At 46.8% G+C, this 27,421-nt stretch overlaps 2 annotated features.

Annotated features, from left to right (window-relative positions):
* Positions 13,331-13,482: a silencer, noted in NCBI's record as "fragment chr2:234131944-234132095 (GRCh37/hg19 assembly coordinates)". NCBI's record gives its function as "represses an EF-1alpha promoter that drives an FKBP-Casp9 reporter gene in an ReSE screen in HepG2 liver carcinoma cells {active_cell/tissue: HepG2}" and the evidence as "EXISTENCE:reporter gene assay evidence [ECO:0000049][PMID:32094911]".
* Positions 19,490-20,049: an enhancer, noted in NCBI's record as "NANOG hESC enhancer chr2:234125377-234125936 (GRCh37/hg19 assembly coordinates)". NCBI's record gives its function as "activates a minimal SCP1, AML or CMV promoter by ChIP-STARR-seq in naive H9 embryonic stem cells {active_cell/tissue: H9 hESC(naive)}" and the evidence as "EXISTENCE:reporter gene assay evidence [ECO:0000049][PMID:30033119]".

Raw genomic sequence — 27,421 nt, 5'->3', positions numbered from 1 at the left:
CCCAGGCTGGAATGCAATGGCACGATCTTGGCTCACCACAACCTCCGCCTTCCAGGGTCAAGTGATTCTCCTGCCTCGGCCTCCCGAGTAGCTGGGATTACAGGCATGTGCCACCACACCTGGCTAATTTTTATATTTTTAGTAGAGACAGGGTTTCACCATGTTGGCCAGGCTGGTCTCAAACTCCTGACCTCAAGTGATTCACCCGCCTCAGCCTCTCAAAATGCTGGGATTACAGCGTGAGCCACTCTGCCTGGCTGAGCTCTCCTTAGGGTTAGGTTACTCTGTCTCTGCTTGGAGCTAGTTTCTCTTCCCCATAAGCAGAAAGCCTTGACTGAAATGGAAATTTAGAATTTTAGAGCAGGAAGACCCCTTAGACATCATTTTATGGCAAAGACGCAAAAGCAGGACATTTCCACCCTCTCCTGCTGCCTTTACCAAGATCTGAGGACGGGAACTCCTGTGTGTCCTGGGAAGAGGCCCGAGAGCTGCTCCCCGAGTCCTAGGTGGGAGCGGGAGAAGGGCCCCTAGCAGGAGGAGGGCGGCCTTGCAGAGCCCTTCTCGGGTCCTGGTGGATGACACTGCAGTGTGAGGGATCCGCCCACCCTCTCTGCCACCCCTGGCGGTGGCCTCTCATGCCACAGCTGGGAGGGCAGGTCTCCTGCATCCAGGCCTAGGATGGAATCTTCTCCAATCCTCCCAACAATCTTGCCTCCCCATGGGATGTGATTTCACAGCTTCTCCAAGGTTGATGGGTGGGAATTTGCTTTACCTTTGGGTAACTAGAAAGCCCGTTTCTGTTAACTTTCCCAGAGTAAATAAAGTCAGCTCCAAAGAGGCCACCTCCAGAAACGGAAAGCTATTAGCAACCTTCTAAGCAGCTTTCCCGCTAAAAATTAAAAAGGAAAAACCTAAATCCCATTTGGGGTGAGCCCTTGTTTTACAGGTAGAAGTTATTATTTTTTTATTTTTCATTTTTATTTATTTATCTATTTATGAGACAGAGTCTCGCTCTGTTGCCTAGGCTGGAATGCAGTGGTGCGATCTCGGCTCACTGCAACCCCCATCTCCTGGGTTCAGGCAATTCTCATGCCTCAGCCTCCCGAGTAGCTAGGATTACAGGCACACACCACCACTCCCGGCTAATTTTTTTTTTGTATTTTTAGTAGAGATGGGGTTTCACCATGTTGGTCAGGCTGGTCTCGAACTCCTGACCTCAGGTAATCTGCCTACCTCGGCCTCTCAAAGTGCTGGGATTATAGGCGTGAGCGTGTGAGCCACTGCACCCGGCCAGTTTTTTTTTTTTTTTTTTTAACGAGTGAATATCTTACCTGAAAAATATTCGTAAATGTGGGTTTTATTCTAGTTGAGGTAGAAAAAAACACTGTACTTTGTCCTGATTTTTAGTGAGTGAAGTTCAAGGAGAAAAAGTAACAAGAGAATTCAGAGAATTTTGAAAATGATTGTTTTGAATGTTGAGTTTTTGAATTTGGGAAATAAGATAGCTGTTACCATGGCTTTATGTTAACAGCTAAAGAATCCAGCAAGGAGTAAATGATGGCCCTGCATCCCCAGGCACAGGGGAAATTTTTGGAACATGAAAATATGAGTTTTAGAAACATGATTCAACTGTCAAAACACGACAAATCAGCAATTCCAATTATGAAACTAAATGCCAGTATTCTGTTTGTTGGGCCACAGAGTGTATGTGACAAGAGTTATCCTTGTGATAAAAAGTTAAACCAGGCCGGGAGCCGTGGCTCACACTTGTAAACCCAGCACTTTGGGAGGCCGAGACGGGTGGATCACGTTAGGTCAGGAGTTTGAGACCAGCCTGACCAACAGGGTGAAACCCCGTCTCTACTAAAAATACAAAAATTAGCTGGGCGTGGTGGCGCATGCCTGTAATCCCAGCTACTTGAGAGGCTGAGGCAGGAGAATCGCTTGAACCCTGGAGGTAGAGGTTGCAGTGAGCCTAGATCGCGCCACTGCACTCCAGCCTGGGCAACAGAGCAAGACTCTGTCTCATAAATAGATAAATAAATAAATAAACTCCATCTCAAAAACAAAAAACCAAAAAAACATTAAACCAAAGAAAAACTTTGAGAGAATCTGTTGCTAGCTTACCTAAGTAACCTCTCCCTCTCCCTCTTCCTGCCATGTGAGTCCTGCGTAAAATCTTTATGGCTGGGTTCAAAGGCTTTTTCCCCCTGCATTTCAGATTTTTTGGTAGGATAAGGTCCTAGCAGGGACTCTAGAAGAAAGGTCAAAGATGATGAAGATATCAAAGCATCTCAGGATCTAGCCTTGTAGCTTTCCACAAGGGTTTACCACTTCACATTTCCACCCACATTGCAGAATGTGCACCCTAACCACAGCTTTACCAGTTTTGGTATTACAACGACAAGAAATTCTTGTTGGTTTGATAGATTGTGATAATATCTGACTGTTGTTTGAATTTGCATTTTATGGGTAAAATTGTGGATTTTCTCACATATTTGTTATTTTCTGTTTTTTTCTCTTGGGGTAATATCTGTCTAAATACTTTGCCCATTTTGTATAGGCAAAGAATAAAAAATTACCTGTGAGTTATTTGGGGGGAAAGCTAGCAAGATATAATATTTTTGGTATGAGTTTTCAGGATTTGTCTAAGAGACATTCTTTGCAAGGCAGACAGGAGGTGGGTGTGGATGGGGTCACTCAACTTTTGAGTGTTAGGAAGCCTCTTATAGGAAGTTATAAAAATTCGTCCCTTAGTACTTATGAAACATTGTGGTATCTGAGTGTTTCCATATGTTGGCATTTCCGTATTTTTGGATGAAAAGTTCTGCTAACTAAGGTATTATCATAGGGGTGGGTGGTCACTACTTGCCCAAGCTGAGACTTCTGTGGGAGGATAAGGCAGAATTATTTTAGAAGGTCAAGGAAAACCTTAGTAAGTCCTCAAGTAGAGCAGCTGTGCAGGGCAGGACGGCTTCTGAACAGCCACACCAAGCACAGTGTAATGACACCCTTGCATTCACTGGTCCAAAAATTATATTATACCTCGAGGTAGTGGTGCCCCTCCTGCAGGCCCCAAGTCATGCCTAATGGCTTGGCTAGTAACCTTTTATGTAATCTATTTCTCTGAGTTCTTGACCTACTCCCTTCTTTGAGTCAGGGCCCCTTTGAGACTTAATTCAACAAGTATTCATGGTGTGCTTATGATATCTCAGCTACTATTCTGGGTGATAAGCCTATATCAGTATCTCTGCCCTCAGTGAGCTTTCATTCTAAGGGGGAAGAAACAGATGATATTAAAAAAAAAAAAAAAAAAACAGACAAAAAACAAAACAAAACAAAAAAAACACACCGGCCAGGTGTGGTGGCTCATGCCTGTAATCCCAGCACTTTGGGAGACTGATGCAGGCAGATAACGAGGTCAAGAGATTGAGACCATTCTGGCCAACATGGTGAAACCCTGTCTCTACTAAAAATACAAAAATTAGCCGGATGTGGTGGAGGGGGCCTGTAATCCCGGCTACTCAGGAGGCTGAGGCAACAGAATCGCTTGAACTTGGGAGGCGGAAGTTGCAGTGAGCCGAGATTGTGCCATTGCACTCCAGCCTGGCGATACAGCGAGACTCTGTCTCAAAAAAACAAACAACAACAACAATGCCCGCCCCCCAAAAAAAAACATACGAAAGAAATAAATAGTCTGTGTTGGAAGGTGATGAGTTCTATGGAAAAAAGAAGCAGAGCCGGGTGACGGTAATGGGGAGTGGGTGGGGGTGCAGTTTCTGCATCAACAAGGTGGCCAAGATGGGCCCATTGAGAAGGTGCGATTTTAAGGCCAGGCGCGGTGGCTCACGCCTGTGATCCCAGCACTTTGGGAGGTTGAGGCGGGCAGATCACTTGAGGTCAGGAGTTTGAGACCAGCCTGGCCAACATGGTGAAACCCCGTCTCTGCTAAAAATACAAAACTTAGCCGAGCATGGTGGCACGTGCCTGTAGTCCCAGCTACTCGGGAGACTGAGGCATGAGGATCACTTGAACCCGGGAGGTGGAGGTTGCAGTGAGTTGAGATCATGCCACTGCACCCCAACCAACCTGAGTTACAGAGTGAGACTCTGTCTAAAAAAAAAAGGAAGAAGGTGAGATTTTAGCAAAGCTCTGAGGAGGTGAGGGAGTTGGCCATGAGGTCATCTGGGGGAGAACATCCCAGGCAGAGGGATCAGCTAGAGCAACAGCTCCTCCATAGTAGGTGCAACTGGGCCCCGCTGAGCTCCTCTGTAGCAGCGCTGGCACCCTCCCTCTGTTGTTGGGGTCGGGGGTGTTGTCCGCTAAAGCTTCACACCTGTCCCCCTCTCCAGAGGATAGCCCTTGGCTGACCTGACCTGCTTCCTGTCCTGGACATGCCTGGGAGGGGACCAATGCCTGACTGATGGGGGCAGGGACAAGTGTCCAATCCCCTTTCCCCTGAGAGGGACCATCTCTGGAAGTAATGTATGTTCCAGAGCTCCCCCTGGGATCAGGCTGAGACTAGACTTCTCCCAAAAGAATCTTTGCACAAAAACCCCAGGCTCAGGCTCTGCTTCCAGGGAACCAAGTCTAAGTCAGTCCTAAGGCCAGAGCTCGCCTGACATGTCCCCAAAACAGCAGGGGAGCCATCGTGGCTACAGCGTGTCTCCCCGGGCAGTGTGCACATACATACAACCGTGTGTACAGCTCTGCCTGAGCGCTGTGGAACCAGGTTCAGCAGCGTGGAATCTCCTGGGCCCCCACCTATGATTGGTAATCACACATGTTAACTTCCTGATAAAGCATCCATTTCTCCCCAAAAGAGAAAAGGGTTGGAAGGGCATCTTCTCAGATAGAACTTTCTGTCTTTAGTTAAGAAAAGCTGCCTATTTGCCTCTGTCCAAAGCTGCTTTCCTGGAAAATAAGTGGACCCATCTGCTATGGATTGAATTTTGGGTCCCCACCAAATTAATATTTTGTAGCCCCAGCTCCCATTATGATGGTATTTGGAGATCGGGCTTCTAGGAGGTAATTAAGGTTAAATGAAGCCATAAGGGTGGGTGGCTTTATAAGAAGAGGAAGAAAGGTGCCTGGGCTCGGTGGCTCACGCCTGTAATCCTAGCACTTTGGGAGGCCGAGGTGTGCGGATTACCTGAGGTCAGGAGTTCGAGACCAGCCTGGCCAACATGGCAAAACCCCATCGCTACTAAAAATACAAAAATTAGCCGGGTGTGGTGGCACACGTCTGTAATCCCAGCTACTCGGGAGGCTGAGGAAGGAGAATCGCTTGAACCCAGGAGGCAGAGGTTGTAGTGAGCCGAGATCGTGCCATTGCACTCCAGCTCGGGTGATGGGAACAAGACTCCATCTCAAAAAAAAAAAAAAAAAAAAAAAAAAAAAAAAAGAAGAGGAAGAAAGGGAAAGAGAAAGCAGAAATTTCTTTCCTGCTATCTCTGCCGTGTGAGGACACAGTGAGATGACAGGCGTTCATCAGCCTGGAAGGGAGGCCTTATCAGAAACTGAACTTGCTGGTACCTTGATCTTGGACTTCAGCCTCCAGAAACGTGAGAAATAAATTTCTGTTGTTTAAGCCACCCACTCTGTGGCTTTTTGTTGTGGCAGGCTGAATAGACTCATACATTACCAAAAGCACAAAAAGCAGTTTCGAAAATTCTAGAGTGAGGTTTGCGAAGATCACTTTTCTAATCCTGTTGGTAAATAGTCCTTGCAATGCCACCACCCAGCTCCAGGGAGGCCAGCGACAGAGGGTGTGAGAACCAGGCCCCAGATTACTTTTCTACTTTCATACCTAACCATAAGATGGAAGCATTGTCTGAAGACAGACTGAGGGAGAGTGTTCTCAGAATTTTAATCATTGCCTGTGTAGTTGCTGTTCTGCGAACACTGAGATCATCTCCTCTTGTATAGAAAATTAATACCAAGAGGTAATGTGTTGTCGTTTTTTTTAATGTAAAATGCTTAACCCATCTCTGCATATTCTGGCAATATAACCAAACTCTTGACAAGGAGTTGAAAAGAACAAGCTTAGAGACTGGAGACACAATTTTGGGGACTTGGTTCCCTACCTTTCTTTCTTCTTTCTTTCTTTCTTTCTTCTTCTTCTTTTTTTTTTTTTTTTTTGAGACAGAGTCTCTCTCTGTCTCCTAGCAGTTGCACAATCTCAGCTCACTGCGACCTCCGCCTCCCAGGTTCAAGCGATTCTCCTGCCTTAGCCTCCCAACTAGCTGAGACTACAGGCGCACACCACCACTCCTGGCTAATTTTTGTATTTTTGGTGGAGACAGGGTTTCACCATGTTGGCCAGGCTGGTTTCGAACTCGTGACCTCAGGTGATCCACCTGCTTCAGCCTCCCAAAGTGCTGGGATGACAGGCTTGAGCCACCAGGCCTGGCCTTTACCTTTCTTATATGACCTTTGCCAGTGCCCTGACCTCCCTGAACCTCAGTTTCTTCCTCTATAAAATACACATAGGCCCCACCCTATAGAGCAGTGAGGATCAAGTAGAGAACCCATGAGATAGTGCATTTTATCTTAGCCCAGAGGCATCCATCTCTTCAACCAGTACTAGCAATTCCTGAGATAGGTAACTTGCTGGATTGGAGTGGGTTTACCTTATTCCTGAGTAGATTGTCATGTGGCCTTAGCCCAAGAGAAGTCCAAGAGCTCAACAAAATTTCATAATCTTGGGTGCACACCTGTGTCTGCTCACAGGTAAGAGAATGGATGGGTACAAATAAGGAAGAAAGAGCCTCTGTAGGGAGAATGGGCTAGCCAGTGCTCAATTAGCTACATCAGCATGACCTGGGGCAGGGGGGGTAGTGTTCAAAATGTATGTTCCTAGGTTTTGCGAACTCCCCTGGCTCCTGTGTCCCCCAGCCACTGTATCAGATTCTTTATGAATGGTCCCAAGCCAGGCACTTTTTAAAATTTTATTTATAGAGACAGGGTCCCACTATGTTGCCCAGGCTGGCCTTGAACTCCTGAGCTCAAGCAATCCTCCCACCTCAGCCTTCCAAATTACAGGCGTGAACCACTGCACCTGGCCAAGGACCTGCATTTTTAAAACAGGCACCTCACATATTTCTTATGTACACCTAAGTTTGAGAAGCAAAGGTCTGGTAACTAGATTAGATTTTGCAGTCACTAACAGGTTACTATAAATTTTATACCCCTAAGTTATAAGTACATGTTTTGAATAGCCTGCTTGGAACACCTTGCAGCTAAAATTTATTCTCCGTAACAATCAGTTTTTTTTTTTTTTCTGGGACAGAGTCTCGCTCTGGCACCCAGGCTGGAGTGCAGTGGTGCCATCGCGTCTCACTGCAACCTCTGTCTCCTGGGTTCAAGCGATTCTCCTTCCTCAGCCTCCCGAGTAGCTGGGACTACAGGCATGCTCAACCATGCCTGGCTAATTTTTGTATTTTTAGTAGAGATGGGGTTTCACCATGTTGGCCAGGCTGGTCTCAAACTCCTGACCTCAAGTGATCCGCCCACCTCAGCCTCCCAAAGTGCTGGGATTACAGGTGTGAGTCACAGCCTCAATCAGTATTTTTATGCTACTTATTGACCAAAAAAAAAAAAAAAAAAAAAAAAAATTGCAAGCTAATTATATGCCACCTAGGATTAGTACTTACATTATGTAAAATATTCCTCCAGTCATACATTATCACTCTTATGTTCAATTAGGGTGATTTAAGAGGAACAATTGGAGACTCTTTTTACATTTATTCACTGAAAATCAAGTGAGTAACAAATTAGGAAAGACATGCAGTGGTCTTTAGAATCTGGGCATAATCAAAACTATTGAATTATGAGGTCTGAGTTTTGTTTTGCTGTGTGGGACCTGATGCCAAGATGCACAGCAAATTCAATGGAAACATGATGTATTTTGCAATGAACAAAGAGCAAAGGTTCCATTAAATTTAGCATTCTGACTTCATTAAAAATTTTTATTCCAGCACATAGAACATGCTGTGAAAAAGAAATCGCAGAATGACATAAAACAACCTCTTGTCATTTGAGAGTCTATATTTACAGTCATTTCTAAGTGTTTCCGCACCACTGGGACTGTGGGAAAGATTTTCCTTTTCATTATGCAACATTATGAACCAGAACCAAAAATTTAAGACAGCTAGTTTTAATATTTTTTGTTAACACCATATTGTTGAATGGTATCCTGCCAACGGCAAGAGAGAATGGGTAAAAAACCTGTTGTCCATATGCTGCAGGATGAATAATAATTTCACAAGTAGAAACAAGGAAAGAGTGAGCCTGAAAAACATGAAATCTATGAAATACAGTGTCTCAGGATGGCACTCAGTGACTGCAAGGAAACAGTGCTAAGATGGTACCAGACCAGCTGATCTTACAGGTGCCATCCTCATGGGTCTTCCAAGGTAGGATTCTCAGAGCCCAGTTACCTTGAGAAAGGCTCACCCGAGAACCCTCTGGGTACAAATAGTGAAAGCCACTATGTTTTCACCCAATTTTTATTTTTCATTTGCTACCTCCAGTTTTCCTAATGACTCCGATGTCTATGTATTAGCCTTCTTGCAAATGATTATCAGAGAAGGTAAGCTGCCTCAATGAATTCACGGCAAAATTGGGATTGGAACCCAGCTCTGGCTCTTAATCATTCCCCCACTTCATCTGTTACAGCACTTTGCCTCCTTTGAGTATGAATCCATGTGTCTAATGTTTTCAGTGGTGTTTCTCCAAATGTGATGGCCCAAACACCAGCATGAGAAGGACCTGGAGTGCTTGCTGAAATTCAGATTCCTAGGCATCACCCAGACCAACAGAATCAATCATCCTGGCAGGGCCCAGGAGTTTGCATTTTAACAAGTTCCCCAGGTGATTTTTATGCATAGCAAAGTTTGAGTATTATTATCTTTGAGGAATCGAGAGGAAGCATGAGATACAGTAGCTGCCCTTAATGCTTTTACAAATGAGTTGGAGAGAGCAGCCCCCACACATCAAAAGCAAAAACTTCCAGATACTTTTGCATCGTCTGCAGCAAATTGTGAAATCCCAGCCTGGCTTCCACCTGGTGCTCAGTGCACTTCTGAGCCATCCTGCTTTGTGAGCAGGTGGTATTTACTTGGGGAGTCAAACCCTCATATTAACATAAGTAAAACATAATTAGAAAAATCTGTTATAAAAACCATTCTGTTTTCCAAGCCAAATATAAATTACTTTGGGGTAAGTCATGCCAGGAATTCCACTTCATTAGCTCATGCAATTAAGAATTGGACTGTCATGCCAATTGCTGTCACTATTTTTCTTCATTGTTTGGGCATGCGGCCCCCCACCATCTTTTACTCCCAGTGTATGTAACAGTTTGAAAGAGCTGGCTGGGCGCAGGGGTTCACGCCTGTAATCGCAGCACTTTGGGAGGCTGAGGCGGGTGGATCACCTGAGGTCAGGAGTTTGAGACCAGCCTGAGCAACATGGTGAAACCTCGTCTCTACTAAAAATACAAAAATTAGCTGGGTGAGGTGGTACGCACCTATAATCCTAGCTACTCAGGAGGCTGAGACAGGAGAATCATTTGAACCTGGGAGGTGGATGTTGCAGTGAGCTGAGATCACGCCATTGCACTCCAGCCTGGCCAATGAGAGTGAAACTCTGTCTCAAAAAAAAAGAAAACAAAGAAGAAAGAGTTGCCATCAAAAGATGATCTTATTCATTTTTAAACAAGTTGTGCTGGGTACTCTCCATTTGCCCCTCTTCCTCCCTGTCCATTGTCTGTTCTTCTCACTGTGCTCTGGGCTGGAGGCTGAGCCCTGGAGGGCAATACCACCACCTGCCCTCTGGATTCTGGTTGGGTTTGACCAAAGGGAAGAATCAGCAGGGGACAAAAAGGCAGGAGAAAAGAGAGGTCAAAGTAACTTTAATCTACAACTTTCTAACCTCTCAGTTGTTCTTGGTTTCTTTTCTGACAGCAGCTTCTAGCAGGGGTCAGTCTCCTGGGGTCCGGCTACCACCACCTCAGGTAATGCCATACCCACCCCCCTTCAGATCTAAGGAAGGTGGTGGCTTCCTGCTGTTGCTAGTCCCTGACCGCCTCCACATCCCTGCTACTTCTCTTAACTCTGCCTGTACCTCTGTAAATGGACTCTTCATTAAGGTCTCTCTTAAGGGTGCCCTGTTTCCTGTACATTTAGGCACATCTCTTTATATTCATAGGTTATGTGCATATAAAAATATCTAGTCTATTCAAATTATGGGGTTAATTTGCAAATATAATTACTAAGTTAAAATGATTGGGTTTATTTTCAAACACATAGATGTGTTTATGTGTATACACACGCATACAGACACACACACACATGAAAAACGTTAGCATGGGAACCTACCTTCTCCCACCTTCCTAAGGAGGAGAGGCCTTGTTGGTTCATTTGAGGGAATCAATGGACAGGGACCATGGAGAAAAGAAAAAACGTATGAGTCTCAATGTCACTTTATAAACCTGGGAGGGTGTGAACTAGACCAGAAAGGAAAGTGAGGGAGAAGGGGTGCAGAGAGGAGAGTGGGGTGCCTGGGCTGCCCTGAAGTCCTTTGGGAGAAAAGTGGGTAATGAGGATTTTAGAGAAGCTTTCTCTAGATTGTACAGTATGATTTTCCTCTCATTACTGCCCATCAGGAAAACCTTCCGTTATGATCAACATTTCTCTTTAAGGCTGTGGGATTTTAAAACATACCTGCAAGGTCTTCGACATTTCACCCATCAAAAGGTGGAGTCTAATTCCCTCACCCTTGAATGTGGGCTTGCTTCAAGTAGAAAGCAGCAGAAATGATTCAGCACAACTTCAGAGGCTAGGTCATAAGAGGTGATATGGCTTCCAGCTGGTGCACTCTCTCATTTTCTCATTCTCTCTCTCTCTCATTTCTCTGTCTCTCTATCTCTCTCTGTCTCTCTCTCTCTCTCTCTCTCATTTCTCTCTCTCTCTCTCTCTCTCATTTCTCTTTCTATCTCTCTGTCTCTCTCTCTCTCTCATTTTTCTCTCTCTCTCTCTCTCCCCCCTGGCTCTTAGAACCCAGCCAAGGGTGTTGTGAAGAAGCCAGAGAGTCATCCAGGAAAACCATACATCAATGTCATTGGTGCTCCAGGCACAGCCCAGCTCAACTGAGGTCCCCAATGACGCCATCATTAACCACCAGACTTGGGAGTGAATGAAGCTTCAGATGGTTCCAGCCCCCAACTTTCAAGCACACCCAGTGATGCTGAGTGCAGCTGATACAAGCTGTCCCCAACAAGCCCTGCCCAAGTTACAGATTTGTGAGCAAAGTAAGTGTTGTCATTGTTTTAAGTTTTGGAGCTGTTTGTTATGCAGCAATAGGTGACTGGCACAAAGCTTTTACAATCAGCTTGGGTTTCTTAAACTAGCCTTAAAGGGGCCCGGTGTTAATCAGTGACAAGGAGATGATTTGGAAATGGTATTTTTTGTCCTCTTAGTGGCTTTCAGAAAAATCCATCTTAGTCTAACGTTTAAAAATAAAAATAAAAACAGCCAAGCGCAGTGGCTCATTCCTGTAATCCCAGTACTTTGAGAGGCCAAGACGGGCAGATTGCTTGAGGTCAGGAGTTCAAGACAAACCTGGGCAACATAGCAAGACCCTGTCTCTACGAAAACTACAAAAAACTCAGCCAAGTGTGTTGGCGTGAGTCTGTAGTCCCAGCTACTTGGGAGGCTAAAGTGGGAGGATCACTTGAGCCCAGAAGATGAGACTGTAGTGAGCTGTGATCACGCCACTGCCCTCCAGCCTGAGCAACAGAGTGAGACTCTGTCTCAAAAAAAAAAAAAAATCCTTCTTAGGGAGAGTTATATATATAATATTATGACAAGCACTGTGTAGGAGATGCTTAATAAATATATATTTTGGGTGAACACATAAGCCACTTGAGGTGGGGTGTGGGACTCCAGGAGGCACACTTGTATGACAGTAGCCATTGAGGGTGGGTTTGGATGCCTCCAAGGCTCTTGTTTGGCTTGGATGAGTGGACAAGTTTGGATCTGAGCTCATTTGCTCTGTTTAATAGAGAAGGGAGACAGAGATAGCTTGGTGGTATATCTATGTAGGAGGAAAGAAAAATGGGTTTGAAAGCTGGTAGTGGAATTTTTCAGAGAGAAAACTGTCTTTTTACAGCAGAGCATCTTAAGGGCCATGGCTGTTGTAAAGCAGTGGCACCTCCCCAGCACCAAAGCATGGCCAGGATGGGCTTTGAATAGACAGAAAGTCATGTTGCTCAAGAGGACAGGTAAGAAGATTGTGGAAAGTTCTTAAGAGAGAGGGGCAAATGCAAGGGGCAAGGTAGCGGGGGAGCTCAAATAAAGTAGATCAGAGAGAAATTTCTGATGGCCCGGTGACTGAAGAATTCTAAAAACAAAGATTTCTTTAGCTGGGTATGGTAGCATGCCTGTAGTCCTTGCTACTTGGGAGGCTGAGGGAGAAGAATCATTTGACCCCAGGAGTTTGAGGCTGCAGTGAGCTATGATCGCACAACTACCCTCCAGCCTGAGTGACAGTGAGACCCTGTCTTTATTATTATTATTATTATTTGCTTTGAGACAGGGTCTCACTGCCATCCAGACTGGGGGCAGTGGTGTGATCATAGCTCACTGCAACCTCGACCTCCCTGGGCTCAGGTGATCCTCCCAGCTCAGCCTCCTGAGTAGCTGGAACAACAAGCACGTGCCACCATGCTCAGCTAATTTTTTTTGTGTGGTTTTTGTAGAGACAGGGTTTTGCCATGTTGCCCAGGCTTCTCTTGAACTCCTGGGCTCAATTGATATGCCTGCTTTGGCCTCCCAAAGTGCTGGGATTACAGGTGTGAGCCACGGCACACAGCTGACTCTGTCTCTTAAAAAAAAAAGGAAAAGAAAAAGATTTCTAATTGTTGTTTGTACGTTGTTGACTGTGTGGTCTGTGATGAATCATCCATTGCCCCCCACTTTCAGTGAAGTCTGCCTTACACATAGCCTTTCGTTGGTGGTATTTTAGGGAGTAAAGGAATCAGGGCAGGGTCTAGCATGGGACAGAAAACGGTCAGACTAGAAATACGGATGTGAAACTAGAAGCTACTGAAAGACGCATAGCTCCCCCCAAAATCCCCTTTGAGTGGTTGCTCTAGAGATTTAAATATATATATCAGTCTATTTAGAGTTAATATTGTACCATTTTATGTAAAATGTATAAATCTTGGCTGGGCACGGTGGCTCACACTTATAATCCTAGCATTTTGGGAGGCTGAGGCGGGAGGATCACTTGAGGTCAGGAGTTCGAGATCAGCCTGGCCAACATGGTGAAACCCCATCTCTACTAGAAATACAAAAATTAGCTGGGCATGGTGATGCATGGCTGTAGTCCCAGCTACTGGGGAGGCTGAGGCAGGAGAATCACTTGAACCAGGGAGGTGGAGGTTGCAGTGAGCCAAGATCGTGCCACTGCACTCCAGGAGCCTGGGCGACAGAGCAAGACTCCATCTCAAAAACAAAAAAACAAAAAAACAACAAAAAATACGTGTAAATCTTGCAATCGTATAGCTCCATTTACCAGTCTCCCCGCTTCAATTGTCGTAAGTATTACATTGGTATCATTCTAAACTCTATAAGAAAATGTTATAATCATTTCTTCACACAGTTATATTTTAAAGAAATTAAGAAAATTAAGATAAAAAGTCTTTTATATTTACCCATGTATTTACCATTTTCAATCCTTTCCATTCCTTCCTGAAGATCTGAGTTTTCCCCTATTATCATATCCTATCAGCCTGAAGAAATTCCTTTAGGATTGTTTATAGTAGATCTGATAGCAACAAATTCTGTCAGTTTTCTTTAATCTGAAGATGTTTTCACTTCATTCTTAAGGAGATCATCACTGGTACTAGAATTCTGGGTTGACTTTTTAAAATGTCTATTTCTCTCTTGAGATTTATATCATTTTGCTTGTTTCAAGACTATTTTCTTGGCAGGGTGCGGTGGCTCACGCCTGTAATCCCAGCACTTTGGGAGGTCGAGGCAGGCGGATCATGAGGTCAGGAGATCGAGACCACGGTGAAACTCCGTCTCTACTAAAAATACAAAAAATTAGCCGGGCGTGATGGTGGGCGCCTGTAGTCCCAGCTATTGGGAAAGCTGAGACAGGAGAATGGCGTGAACCCGAGAGGCGGAGCTTGCAGTGAGCCAAGATTGCGCCACTGCACTCCAGCCTGGGTGACAGAGCGAGACTCCGTCTCAAAAAAAAAAAAAGAGTATTTTCTTTTATGCCCCTGAGTATAGTTATAGTAGCTGCTTCAACATCTTTGCTAATTCCAGCATCTGGAATGGGGTTGATCATGGCTGTTTGTTTTTTCTCTTGAGATGGGTCACGTTTTGTGGATTCTTGTTATGAAACAATTTTGAATGGTGTTTGGACATTAAGAAAGATTATGGATTTTCAGAATTCTATTGCATTCTTCTGAACATTATTGACTTATTAAGGGCAATTAATCTGGATCAACACAAATCGCAAATTCTGTCTTCTCTAAGATGTTAAATAATTTGTCCAGTCACAAAGTTAATAGATAACTAACTTCAGATAACTTATAGGTGAGACTTTGGCAGGAATTATTTACTTCTCTAAGTTTTCATCTAGGTTTAAAAATTTTGTGCTAAAAATGGGCACTCTCTCAGCTTCCACTGGGTTCTCGTTGATGTGAAGTCAGTACTTGCAGCCCTGTCTGCAGTCTGTGCTGTTTACTGTCATTGCTCCTTGCTTGCCTCAGGCTTGTATCTTATAGATCCTGAGTGGTAGTGGCTCATTTCAGCTGTGTCAACTTGATTAGATTGAAGGATGCAAAGTATTGTTCCTGGATGTGTCTGTGAGGGTGCTGCCAAAGGAGATTAGCATTTGAGTCAGTGGACTGAAGAGGTAGACCCACACTCACTGTGGGTGGGCACCAATTTAATCAACTGCCAGTACAGCTAGAATAAAGCAGGCAGAGGAGATGGGAGAAGGGGACTTGCTGAGTCTTCCAGTCTTCATCTTTCTCCCATGCTGGATGCTTCCTGCCCTCCAACATCAGACTCCACATTCTTTAGCCTTTGGACTCTTGGACATACACCAGTGGTTTGCCAGGGGCTCTTGGGCCTTCAGCCACAGACTGAAGGCTGCACTGTTGGCTTCCCTACTTTTCAAGTTTTGGGACTTGGACTGGCTTCCTTGTTTCTCCACTTGCAGACGGCTTATCGTGGGACTTCACCTTGTGATCTTGTGAGTCAGCTCTCCCTAATAAACTCCCCTTCATATATACATCTGTCCTATTAGGTCTTTTCCTCTAGAGAACCCTGACTAATGCAGCAGCCCTCCAACAGGGAATGGAGCCTTTTTCTACATCCTTAGATAGATAGAGCAGGGCTAGGGTTGCCAGATAAAATACAGGAAGTCCCGTCAAATTTGAATTTCAGATACAAACCTTGAATTTTCTTAGTATATTTTAGATATAATATTTGGGACTATACTTACACTAAAAATTATTGTTGCTTTGAAATTCAAACTTAACGAGGCATCTGATATTTTATTTTTTATTTTTAAAATTTGTTTTACTATTCATCTCATCAAGAAGCAAGGCATCTTAAATTTCTATTTGCTAAATCTTTGACAGTTGGGCCCTGAAGTATTATTGCTTGTGCTCCTGCTTGTGTCTGGCAAAGTTCATCCCAGAAGCTGCAGCAGCCCCTCTTCCCATGGGGCCCTGGGGGAGTGTTTGCCAGGCTCTTGTTCTGTGCCAAGCACCTGGGGACAGAGTGGAGAGGCCATGCCTTGCCATGGGCCTCGGTGGCCTCTCCTTTTCTTTTGTTACCCAACATAGCCTCTCACAAATACCCTCCCTCTTCCTTCAGCTATCGAAGTGCGGTGCCGCATCCCTATTACCTTCAATAGGGATGGTACCAGGTTCAAGAGTCTGAAGAAGAGATGCAGTGCCAGCAAATGGGACATAGGATTTACTGGGAACTTACATACAGGGATGGTCCATTTGGGCTCAAGACAGAGTGGCAGCAGGCAGACAGGAGAACTGCCACCACTTGCAAAAAGCATGCAGTTTATAGAACACCTTCACTTAGCAACTTCTACCTGGCAACCTTCCTTTAACCCAAAACAAAGGGCCTTCATGCTCTCTATGGACCACATTCCACAGGATGTGCTGGGGGCTCAGATGTTCCTCAGAGTTAAGGAATGAATCTTCAGATTGGCCATGCTGGAAACTCCAAACACACATTCAGGTGTGTCTGCCATGCAGGGTTGTTCTCACGGTATGCTTCAGTTATTGCTGTCAGGTGCAGCCACCATGCACAAGAGACATCATCAAGCAGATCAACTCTGGCTCATGGACTCCTCTCGGGCTCACCTACCACTTCATGGATTGTGTGACTCTCCATTTGGGCTCAAGACAGAGTGTCTGTCCTACTGAGGAGCCTGTGAATGTGTCTGCCCCGTGCCCCCACCCCACCACCCCTGGCCCCCTACTGCTCTAACTTCACCCTACTCACTCTCATTCATGTAACAGTGTACATGTAACTCTATTTTGCTGCTAACCCCTCACCCCTACTGCTATGGTATCTCTGCATATAGGCCAAGCTAACTATGGGAGAAATTTAGAGTTTAACCTTAAAGCAAGGATGATAAGAGCCACTTCCCAAAACTAGCCCCCAAAGAGATAAGGAGGGTGTGTACACAAGTAACAATATTATGTTAAAAATGTATAAGAGCACTGTGACCTGACCAGGGACAAAGAAGTTTACCCTTGCTGCCACTCAGTTGTCTGTAGTCATAGATCACCTTTTGATCTCAACCCCTCCCTCTCCCCTTTTTCCCTAATATAAAAGGATTCTGAAATTCATATTCGCTATAGATGTTACTTTCTTTTTTTTTTTTTTTCTTTGAGACAGAGTCTACCTCTGTTGCCCAAGCTGGAGGGCAGTGGCATGATCTTGGCTCACTGCAACTTCCACCTCCTAGGTTCAAGCAATTCTCGTGCCTCAGCCTCCCGAGTAGCTGGGGTTACAGGCGTGTGCCACCACGCCCGGCTAATTTTTGTATTTTTAGTAGAGACAGAGTTTCACCATGTTGGCCAGGCTTGTCTTGAACTCCCAACCTCCAGTAATCTGCCCACCTCAGCCTCCCAAATTGCTGGGATTACAGGCATGAGCCACTATGCCTGGCCCAAGATGGTTCTTTAGGGCATTAGTCCATTATCTTCTCTGTTTTGCTGGCTTTCTAAAATAGAGTCTTCTTCCTTGCCCCCATACCTTGTCTCTTGACTTACTGGCTGTTGTGTGGAGAACAGTACAAGCTTTGGCCTTGACTGCATTCCACCACACTCCAGCACACCAGTTCTTTCCCGTTTCTTGAACACACCAAGCTGTTTCTCCAGGCCTACACATCTCCTTCTGTCTGGAATGTTTTCTCCTCATTCTTTGACACTGGACCATCCCACATTACAGAACTCCCCCAAGTGAGGTGTCCCTCTTCAGCAATGACTCGCCGAGCACCCAGGAATGTCAACCCAAAGGCACAGAGTAGGCATCAGAGAGGCCAGGGGCCTGCAGGATGGCCGGGCAGTAGAACTCTGTCGGGTGTTGTGACCCATGTCATGCGCAGCAGTCTGCTCTCACCTGCCTGAAGGCTCTCTGGCCTTGGGAGTTGGCTTTGCTGCATAGGCCAGAAGAGCTAAGGTGTTAACGCCCCTCCCAGAGGCAGCCCTTCACTGTGACTCAGAGTTGGCCTGGTAGCACCCAACTTGCTCCTCTTTGGGTTTTTTAGAGACAGGTCTCCCTTTGTCACCCAGGCTGGAGTACAGTGGCACAATAATGTCTCACTACAAGCTTGAACTCCTGGGCTCAAGAGATCCTCCTTCCTCAGCTTCCCAAGTGGCTGGGATTACAGGTACACGCCACCACACCCAGCTAGTTTTTTTCTTTGTTTTTTTGTAGAGACGGGGTTTCACTATGTTGCCCAAGCTGGTCTTGAACTCTTGGCCTCACAGGATCCTCCTACCTCACCCTCCCAAATTGCTGGGATTACGGGCGTGAGCTACCATGCCTGGATCCTGCTTGCTCCTCTTTGCATGGGGTGACACAGGCATGTGTTCCCAACAGTGCCTGCAGGGTAAGCCCAGGTGGCCACAGTGGCTCCCTGCCCATAGAACGTTCTGAAGCAGCTATATTGTCTGGGGTAAATACCTGGGGTTCACTGTCTTGCCAGGAAAATTTAGGACATGGACACACACAAGGAGTTTAGGAGCGGAGGTTTAATAGATAAAAGAGAGACAGAAAGAGAAAGAAAAACAGCTCTCTCTCTAGTGAGAGAGATGGGACTTCCAAGAGGAAAAAGATAGGAGGCTGAGGCAGGAGAATGGCATGAACCCGGGAGGTGGAGTTTGCAGTGAGCCTAGATGGCACAGGTCACTGGGGGTATGATGGCTTAGCTTGGGCTCTGAGCCCTGACACTTAGGCAGATAGTGGGGATACGGAAGTCCCCGGTAAGGTTGTCCTTTTAATGAAGAGCAACCCCAAATTATTTTCCTTTCTAACAAAAAGCAGCCTGTAAAATCAAGCTGCAGACATAGACACCAGCTGTTGTGCCAATCATGTTCAAGATGGCAGCTCCATCTTCCCTTATCTCTGTCAGCCACGTGTACAGTAAGGAGCAGACAAGATGGCCGCCAGCCAAAGGGAAAGTTCATTGCATAATAAGATTAGGGTGGGGCAACCAGCGTTCCCCTTGCTATGTAAACGTCATACCTGATGGAACCAATCTGTGAGCCCTGTGTAAATCAGGAACTGCCTCCTCAAGCCTGACTATAAAGTCCGGTGCATCCCCCACTAGCCCATCTTTTTTTTTTTTTTTTTTTGAGATGGAGTCTCCCTCTGTCGCCCAGGCTGGAGTGCCGTGGTAATCCCATCAGTTTGCTGACTCCTTTTTTGGACTCAGCCCGCCTGCACCCAGGTGAAATAAACAGCCTTGTTGCTCACACAAAGCCTATTTGATGGTCTCTTCACACGGACATGTGAGACATTTGGTGCCCTCAAAATCACAAACTATGCTCAACTCACTCTCTACAGTTCTCATAACTTCCAAAATCTATTTTCTTCCTCACACCTGACACATACTTTCTGCTCCCCAGCTCCTTCAGCTATATTCACTCTTTGTTGAGTCTCCCACAATTACCATTGTTCCTGGCCCGGACTTCAATCTGGCCTTCCACGTTATTCCGGATACCACACCTGACCCCTATGACTGTATCTCTCTGATCCACCTGGCATTCATTCCATTTCCCCATATTTCCTTCTTTCCTGTTCCTCACTCTGATCACATTTGGTTTATTGATCACATTTGGTTTAGTCCATCAGGCCTAATCGCCACTCACTAGCAAAGGCAGGCTATGCTATAGAATCTTCCACATCTATCATTGAGGCTACCGCTCTGCCTCCCTCCACTACCTCTCAGGAAGCCGAACTCATTGCCTTAATTCGAGCCCTCACTCTTGCAAAGGGACTACACGTCAATATTTATACTGACCCCATATCCTGCACCACCATGATGTTTTATGGGCTGAAAAGTTTCCTCACCACACAAGGGTCCTCCATCATTAATGCCTCTTTAATAAAAACTCTTCTCAAGGCCGCTTTACTTCCAAAGGAAGCTGGAGTCATACACTGCAAGGGCCATCAAAAGGCATCAGATCCCATCGCTCAGGACAATGCTTATGCTGATAAGGTAGCTAAAAAAGCAGCTAGCTTTCAACTTCTATCCCTCACAGCAGTTTTTCTCCTTCTCATCTGGCCACTCCCACCTACTCCCCCACTGAAACTTCCACCTATCAATCTCTTCCCACACAAGGCAAATGGTTCTTGGACCAAGGAAAATATCTCCTTCCAGGCTTACAGGCCCATTCTATTCTATCGTCATTTCATAACCTCTTCCATGTAGGTTACAAGCCGCTAGCCCGCCTCTTAGAACCTCTCATTTCCTTTCCATCGTGGAAATCTATCCTCAAGAAAATAACTTCTCAATGTTCCACCTGCTATTCTACTACTCCTCAAGAATTTCTCAGGCCCCCTCTCTTCCCTACACCTCAAGCTCGGGGATTTGCCCCCGCTCAGGATTAGCAAATTGACTTTACTCACATGCCTCGAGTCAGGAAACTAAAATACCTCTTGGTCTGGGTAGACACTTTCACTGGGTGGGTAGAGGCCTTTCCCACAGGGTCTGAGAAGGCCACCGTGGTTATTTCTTCCCTTCTGTCAGACATAATTCCTCGGTTTGGCCTTCCCACCTCTATACAGTCAGATAATGGACCGGCCTTTACTAGTCAAATCACCTGAGCAGTTTCTCAGGCTCTTGGTATTCAGTGGCACCTGGTTTTACCTCAAACTGCCACCCTTAGGTCTCTCTTTAAGTGGATAGAAGATCTTCAGTGACAAAGTGCACTTCAATACTTTCACCCTGATGAAGTCCTATTCTTTGCTTTTATACTTACTCTTATTCTCGTTCCCGTTCTTATGCCACCCTCCACCTTTCCCCAGCTATCTCCACCACACTGTCAATCTCAGTCACTCTCTCCTAGCCGTTTCTAATCCTTCTTTAACAAACAGTTGCTGGCTTTGCATTTCTCTTTCCTCCAAAATCACTGAGGCCTTGATTTACTTACTGCTAAAAAAGAGGACTGTATATTTTTAAATGAAGAGTGTTGTTTTTACCTAAATCAATCTGGCCTGGTATATGACAACATAAAAAAACTCAAGGATAGAGCCCAAAAACTTGCCAACCAAGCAAACAATAACGTTGAACCCCCTTGGACACTCTCTAATTGGACATCCTGAGTCCTCCCAATTCTTAGTCCTTTCAACCTATCTTTCTCCTTCTTTTATTCGGACTTTGTGTCTTTCGTTTAGTTTCTCAATTCATACAAAACCGCATCCAGTCCAACCAATAATTCTATATGCCAAATGCTCCTTCTAACAACCCTACAATATCACCCCTTACCCCAAAATCTTTCTTCAGTTGAATCTCTCTCACTGTAGGTTCCCATGCCACCCCTAATCCCGCTCGAAGCAGCCCTGAGAAACATCGCCCATTATCTCTCCATACCACCCCCCAAAATTTTCGCCACCCCAACACTTTACCATTTTATTTTTCTTATTAATATAAGAAGACAGGAATGTCAGGCCTCTGAGCCCAAGCTAAGCCATCATATCCCCAGTGACCTGCACGTATACATCCAGATGGCCTGAATCAACTGAAGATCCACAGGAGTGAAAATAGCCTCAACTGATGACATTCCACCATTGGGATATTTTTCTGCCCCACCCTAACTGATCAATGTACTTTGTAATCTCCCCCACCCCTAACAAGGTTCTTCATCATTCTCCCCACCCTTAACAAGGTTCTTCATCATTCTCCCCACCCTTAACAAGGTTCTTCATCATTCTCCCCACCCTTAACAAGGTTCTTCATCATTCTCCCCACCCTTAACAAGGTTCTTCATCATTCTCCCCACCCTTAACAAGGTTCTTCATCATTCTCCCCACCCTTAACAAGGTTCTTCATCATTCTCCCCACCCTTAACAAGGTTCTTCATCATTCTCCCCCACCCTTAACAAGGTTCTTCATCATTCTCCCCACCCTTAACAAGGTTCTTCATCATTCTCCCCACACTTAACAAGGTTCTTCATCATTCTCCCCACCCTTAACAAGGTTCTTCGTCATTCTCCGCACCCTTGAGAATGTACTTTGTGAGATCCACCCCCTGCCCCCAAAACATTGCTCCAAACTCCACCGCCTATCCCAAAACCTCTAAGAACTAATGATAATCCTACCACCCTTTGCTGACTCCTTTTTCGGACTCAGCCCGCCTGCACCCAGGTGAAATAAACAGCCTTGTTGCTGGTCTCTTCACACGGACACATGAGACACTAAGTAATCTCTCTCTTTTTTTTTTAGATGGAGTCTCTCTGTCACCCAGGCTGGAGTGCAGTGGTGCGAACCTGGCTCACCACAACCTCTGCCTCCCAGATTCAGGCAATTCTCCTGCCTCAGCCTCTGCAGTATCTGGGACACAGGCATGTGCCACCACGCCTGGCTAATTTTTCTAATTTTAGTAGAGACGGGGTTTCACCATGTTGGTCAGGCTGGTCTCAAACTCCTGACCTCATGATCCTCCCACCTTGGCCTTCCAAAGTGCTGGGATTACAGGCGTGAGCCACCGTGTCCGGCAGTAATCTCTTCTGTATCAGTTCTTTATGGCTTCTTTCCCTTTCCTGCCTCAAATCCTCACTCCCTTGCTCCTGTAGTGTTTCCTGAGTTATCCCCAAATACTTTCCTTGCACTCAAATCTTTGACTCAGAGTCTGTTTCTGGGGAATCCAAACTAATAAGACAGGTGGAGATTTACAGATCCCCAAACCAGCCTTCCCAGCAGATCTCAATGTAGGATATGCCCAGAGAGGCCCAAATATGCGGAGGGTAAGGAGGGCGGACAAAGCAGTGAGGAGAAGCAGCAGAGCGGCCACTGTGGTGCAATCGATCAGGAGGGAGGAGGAAACTCTGGAGTTTGACAGGACACAGGATGCGGGGCCCTGGGCTGGCTCTGAGCTCACCAGGGGCTTCTATGTCCTGACAGTGGAGGCTTCCTCACTTCCATGCACCCTGGTGACAGACCCATCTCCTGAGTGTCAGGCCTCTGAGCCCAAGCTAAGCCATCGTATCCCCAGTGACCTGCATGTATACATCCAGATGACCTGAAGCAACTGAAGATCCACAGAAGTGAAAATAGCCTTAACTGATGACATTCCACCATTGTGATTTGTTACTGCCCCACCCTAACTGATCACTGTACTCTGTAATCTCCCCGACCCTTAAGAAGGTTCTTTGTAATTCTCCCCACCCTTGAGAATGTACTTTGTGAGATCCACCCTCTGCCTGCAAACCATTGCTCCAAACTCCACCACCTATCCCAAAACCTCTAAGAACTAATGATAATCCACCACCCTTTGCTGACTCCTTTTTCGGACTCAGCCCGCCTGCACCCAGGTGAAATAAATGGCCATGTTGCTAACACAAAGCCTGTTTGGTGGTCTTTTCACACGGACACGTGAAACACTGAGGTGACCTGCTGCATCTTCGCCCCTTGAAATGGAAGGAGCCTAACGGGCCCTGTGATCTTTCTTTGTTTTCTTTTCTTTTTTTTTTTTTTCTGAGACAGAGTCTCGCTCTGTTGCCCAGGCTGGAGTGCAGCGATGTGATCTCACTCACTGCAGCCTCCGCCTCCGGGGTTCAAGTGATTCTCCTCCCTCAGCCTCCCAAGTAGCTGGGATTACAGGTGCCCGCCACCATGCCCAGCTTATTTTCGTATTTTTTAGTAGAGACGGAGTTTCACCACGTTGGCCAGGCTGGTCACGATTTCCTGACCTCGTGATCCGCCTGCCTCAGCCTGCCAAAGTGCTGGGATTACAGGCGTGAGCCAACACGCCCAGCCGAGCCCTGTGATATTTCTCCAGATTTGTGCGGGGCACCTCCCTCCTGCTAGCTTCCTGCACGTGTGCATGCGTGCGTATTTGTGTGTGTTTGGTGTCAGAATTCGGATCTTCACCTTCTTCAGGAAGGAGGAGCCTTTTCTCAGAACTGCTCTGTGGCAGTTGTCCACTTCTGGGGGTGATTCTGCCATTCTCTCTGCCAGATGGTGACATTTGGGAATGTCTGGGGGTGGGTTCTAGCGTCTAGTGGGCAGAGGCCAGGGATGCCACTAAGCGGTGCACCAGCCAGCGCCACACCGAAGAATGACCCAGCCCCACATGTCAGTAGTGTCTCGGTCCAGAACCCCTGCCCTGTGGGGAGCAGTTCCGCATGGGTTAGTTCCTCCAGGAGTTAGCCTGCAAGATGGAGGCACACTTGTCCCAGGTCCCCCATTGCTTTGTGTGAGTCATCGGTGGTCGGACAGGATTCCGGTCCTGTAGACCGGATTGTAGAAGGCATCCGAGGATGGGGAATGAGTGATGGACCTCACCGGCACATGGGTGCTGGGACTGTGGCTGTGCTTGGTGGCTGTGCTGCTGCAGGTGCCGTGCCGCTCCTGGCAGGCACAGGGCCTTACTTCTCATGTCACAGGTGTCACAAATGGTGTGGCCTGCAGGAGTGACCTGGCCAAGGCCCTGCCGCTTGTCAGATCTGGGGCCAGGATCAGGCCCTGAGTCCAGAAACGAAGGAGTCACCTTGAGAAGGGCTTGTAAATGGTAAAAACTGTGGCCTTGTAGCTGTCGAGGCTGCGGTGGGAACACGGAGAATTACGTTGTCTTTGTGAGAGCATCATGTTGATAACAGTGACATGTATTGAGTGCTTACCTGCAGCCAGGGCTATTTACATTAGCATGCCTTTTAATCCTTACAAGGCCACCCGGGCGCGGTGGCTCACGCCTGTCATCCCAGCACTTTGGGAGGCTGAGGTGGGCGGATCACGAGGTCAGAAGATCGAGACCATCCTGGCTAACAAGGTGAAACCCCATCTCTACTAAAAATACAAAAATTAGCCGGGCGTGGTGGCGGGCACCTGTAGTCCCAGCTACTCGGGAGGCTGAGGCAGGAGAATGGCATGAACCCAGGAGGCGAAGCTTGAAGTGAGCCAAGATTGTGCCACTGCACTCCAGCCTGGGCAACCGAGTGAGACTCCGTCTCAAAATAAATAAATAAAATTAAATTAAAAAAATAAAAAAATAAATCCTTACAAGGCCTCCGTGAGGTTGATGTCATTATCATCTCCTTTTTACAGATGGAGAAACTGAAGTTAAGTACTTAGCCACGGTCATATGGCCTGCCAGTCAGTGGCAGGTGGCAGGGCTGGGGGCTGAACCCAAGTGTTCTGACCCCAGAGTCCAAGATCCTCAGCACCAGTCTGGTTATCATTCTGAATACTAACACTAAATCATGAAACATTTCCCAGCTAATCCCGAAAGGAAATTCATGGCCGGGGGCTTTTGTCTGCATACCCCTTACCACCTGGCACTGTAACTGCTGGCCTGTGCATCGGCCTCTTCTGGAAGCTGGGCATGTTGCCTTCTTCTGCACAATGGTCACAGCCTGGCACATTTTTGATGTGTTTAAGCAGTTTGGCTCCCAAGTCTGTGCTCTCAACTACTACCTAAACAGAGTGCTTTTTAAAAATAGCAGAAGCAGGACAAACCATTTCTGGGGATGTACTCTAAATAAGGCCTGGAAATTCAATTTATAGCCCGTGCACTAAAACAGGATTCCACATGATACAGAGGACAGCCTCTTCCGCCTGCACCTCCAGCCCTTCCTTCTTCCAAGGCCCTGCCAGGGCTGCGGGTTGGAGCGTTGCCACCTTTCAGCCACAGGAATTCGGCTCCTTCTGGAATCTAACTTTCACTTTTCTGCCTGCTCTGCAGGGCTTGGATGAAGGGGAGGCAAGGCAGGGATGGGTGGGGGGGATGTTTAAATCTGAGGTGGTGCAAGTTCAGGGTGAGCACTGGAGAGTGAGTGTCGGTTACCTTTTGCACCCCCGAGACTTGCTGGCCTTACCCTATTCTCGACCTTCCTAAATGCTAAGCAAGCACGTCATTGTGTGCTCCGGAGTCCCCAAGGCTCCCCATTCCCTGCAGAATGAGGCAGGACTGCAAGTCATTGACATGGTTAGGGAAGGAGGAAGAAAAAGCGGAAGGAGGGAGAGACAAGTGCAGGAGCCGAATCTCGCAGGGACAGGTGCGTCCAGAACCGCCGTGGGGCACAAAACTGCTTTGTGGTGACTGGACCTGCCTACATGTCCCTGGTGGCCAGAAACACTGCCCAGCACTGCCCCATGAAGTGTTCCTATGCGTCCGCTGGGTCTGCTCCCATTGGCTCAGGTCATCTGAGCAGCTGTGCTCTGTGTAGCTAGAGAATCCACCTGCACCTCTGGCTTCAAACTAGTCTTCCTGGCCTCAACTAACCTCGCCTCTCCTTGACCTCAACTAGCTCCTCCTTAGCCTCAAATAGCCCACCTGGCCTCATCTAGTTCCTCCTGGCCTCAGTTATCCATGCCTTAGCCTGATCTATCTCCCTGCTCTTCATGGCTTTTCACAGCCTTGACTTGCCCCCTGGATGGCCTGCCTTGTTTATGAATTTGTGCTCTTGCCTTTACCTCTGCTTTGGACGTTCCTGCATCCCCAAAGCTCTTCTATTTGCTTCTTTTCCGATGCTGTGCACGGTGCCCTCCCTCACTGCCTTGTCTCGAAGGATGAGGGAACGGGATAACACTCACTGAACCCCTACAGCAGGGCCAGGCGCCGAGCCAGGGGCTTTGCAGAGATGAGCTCAGTGAATCTTCGACAACCACACCAGGTAGCCTTCTTTCCATTGTACAGATGAGGAGATTGAGGCTCAGAAAAGCTAAGAAACCTGTGCAAGATTATAGTTTTAGGAAATAAAAGACATTTAAGCCCCATTCTATCTGTTCCCATAGTCCAGGATCCCTCCCACCCATGGCCTACCTCAATAGAAGCACTGACCCCCAAGGCCCAGTGCACGCCATCAACATGTGTGGCCAAGTGCATGGAGGAAGAGCATGAGCTGGGTATGCCTGCTGTGAGATTAGTCACTGGTAAGCCTAGTGGTTCGGTCTGCTGTGACCTGAGAGAGAACTCACCAGTGCAGGCCAGCCAGCCCGTCAGAAAATAACAAGAAACTAGATTGCCTATACCTAGACTCAACCTCCCAGTGCGTTCCCTGGGTGGTTCAGATTTCCCAAAATGGGACCTTCGTGGGTGGCAGTGTCTGTGGGGGTGAGAACACACATTTGCATTATAAAGGGTCTCTGTCAGAGTGAAGGCTGGGAGCTGAGTTTGCTGCCTTGCAGAAAGCTTCTGGGCCTTCCCATAGCTGGGTCTCCATGGAAATTTGTTTGCCAAGAGAAAGGAGCTATTTTAAGGACATGCAAAGATGAGAACCTGGTAGGCTGGAACCAGGGAAGGTAGCTGTGGGAGAGAGCTTTTCTGAATGACTCACTAATTTCTCTCCTATCCGGGTGGGGAAAATGGTGTGGAAAAAGAATGGAAATGCAGGAAGGAGGAGGAGCCCGTGGCTGACTCTGTCCCTGCAGGTGGCACTGGCTGCAGGCGCTGCCCTCCAGGCTGCGGGGGGGTGGGGGGGGGGCTGCGGTGGAGGCACTGGGAAGAGCGCTGCTAGAGACTGTCCATCATGAGGGTAACACCTTCCTGTCGGCACAAACTCTGCTGCTCTCAACCAGCCTTCATAGCATCAAGCAGAGAAGGAAAAAAATTACCTCTGAAAAGGAACAGTGACTGTAGCAGCATCTGCAATCTCAGGGGGCGGTGAAATTCATCCTAGGAATGGAGCACTTTGATGAG

This window comes from Homo sapiens, chromosome 2, assembly GCF_000001405.40.
Source record: "Homo sapiens chromosome 2, GRCh38.p14 Primary Assembly".
Taxonomy (NCBI): Eukaryota; Metazoa; Chordata; class Mammalia; order Primates; family Hominidae; genus Homo; species Homo sapiens.
The sequence above is the reverse complement of the archived record's forward strand: the minus strand, read 5'-3'. Positions and strand labels throughout refer to the sequence as shown.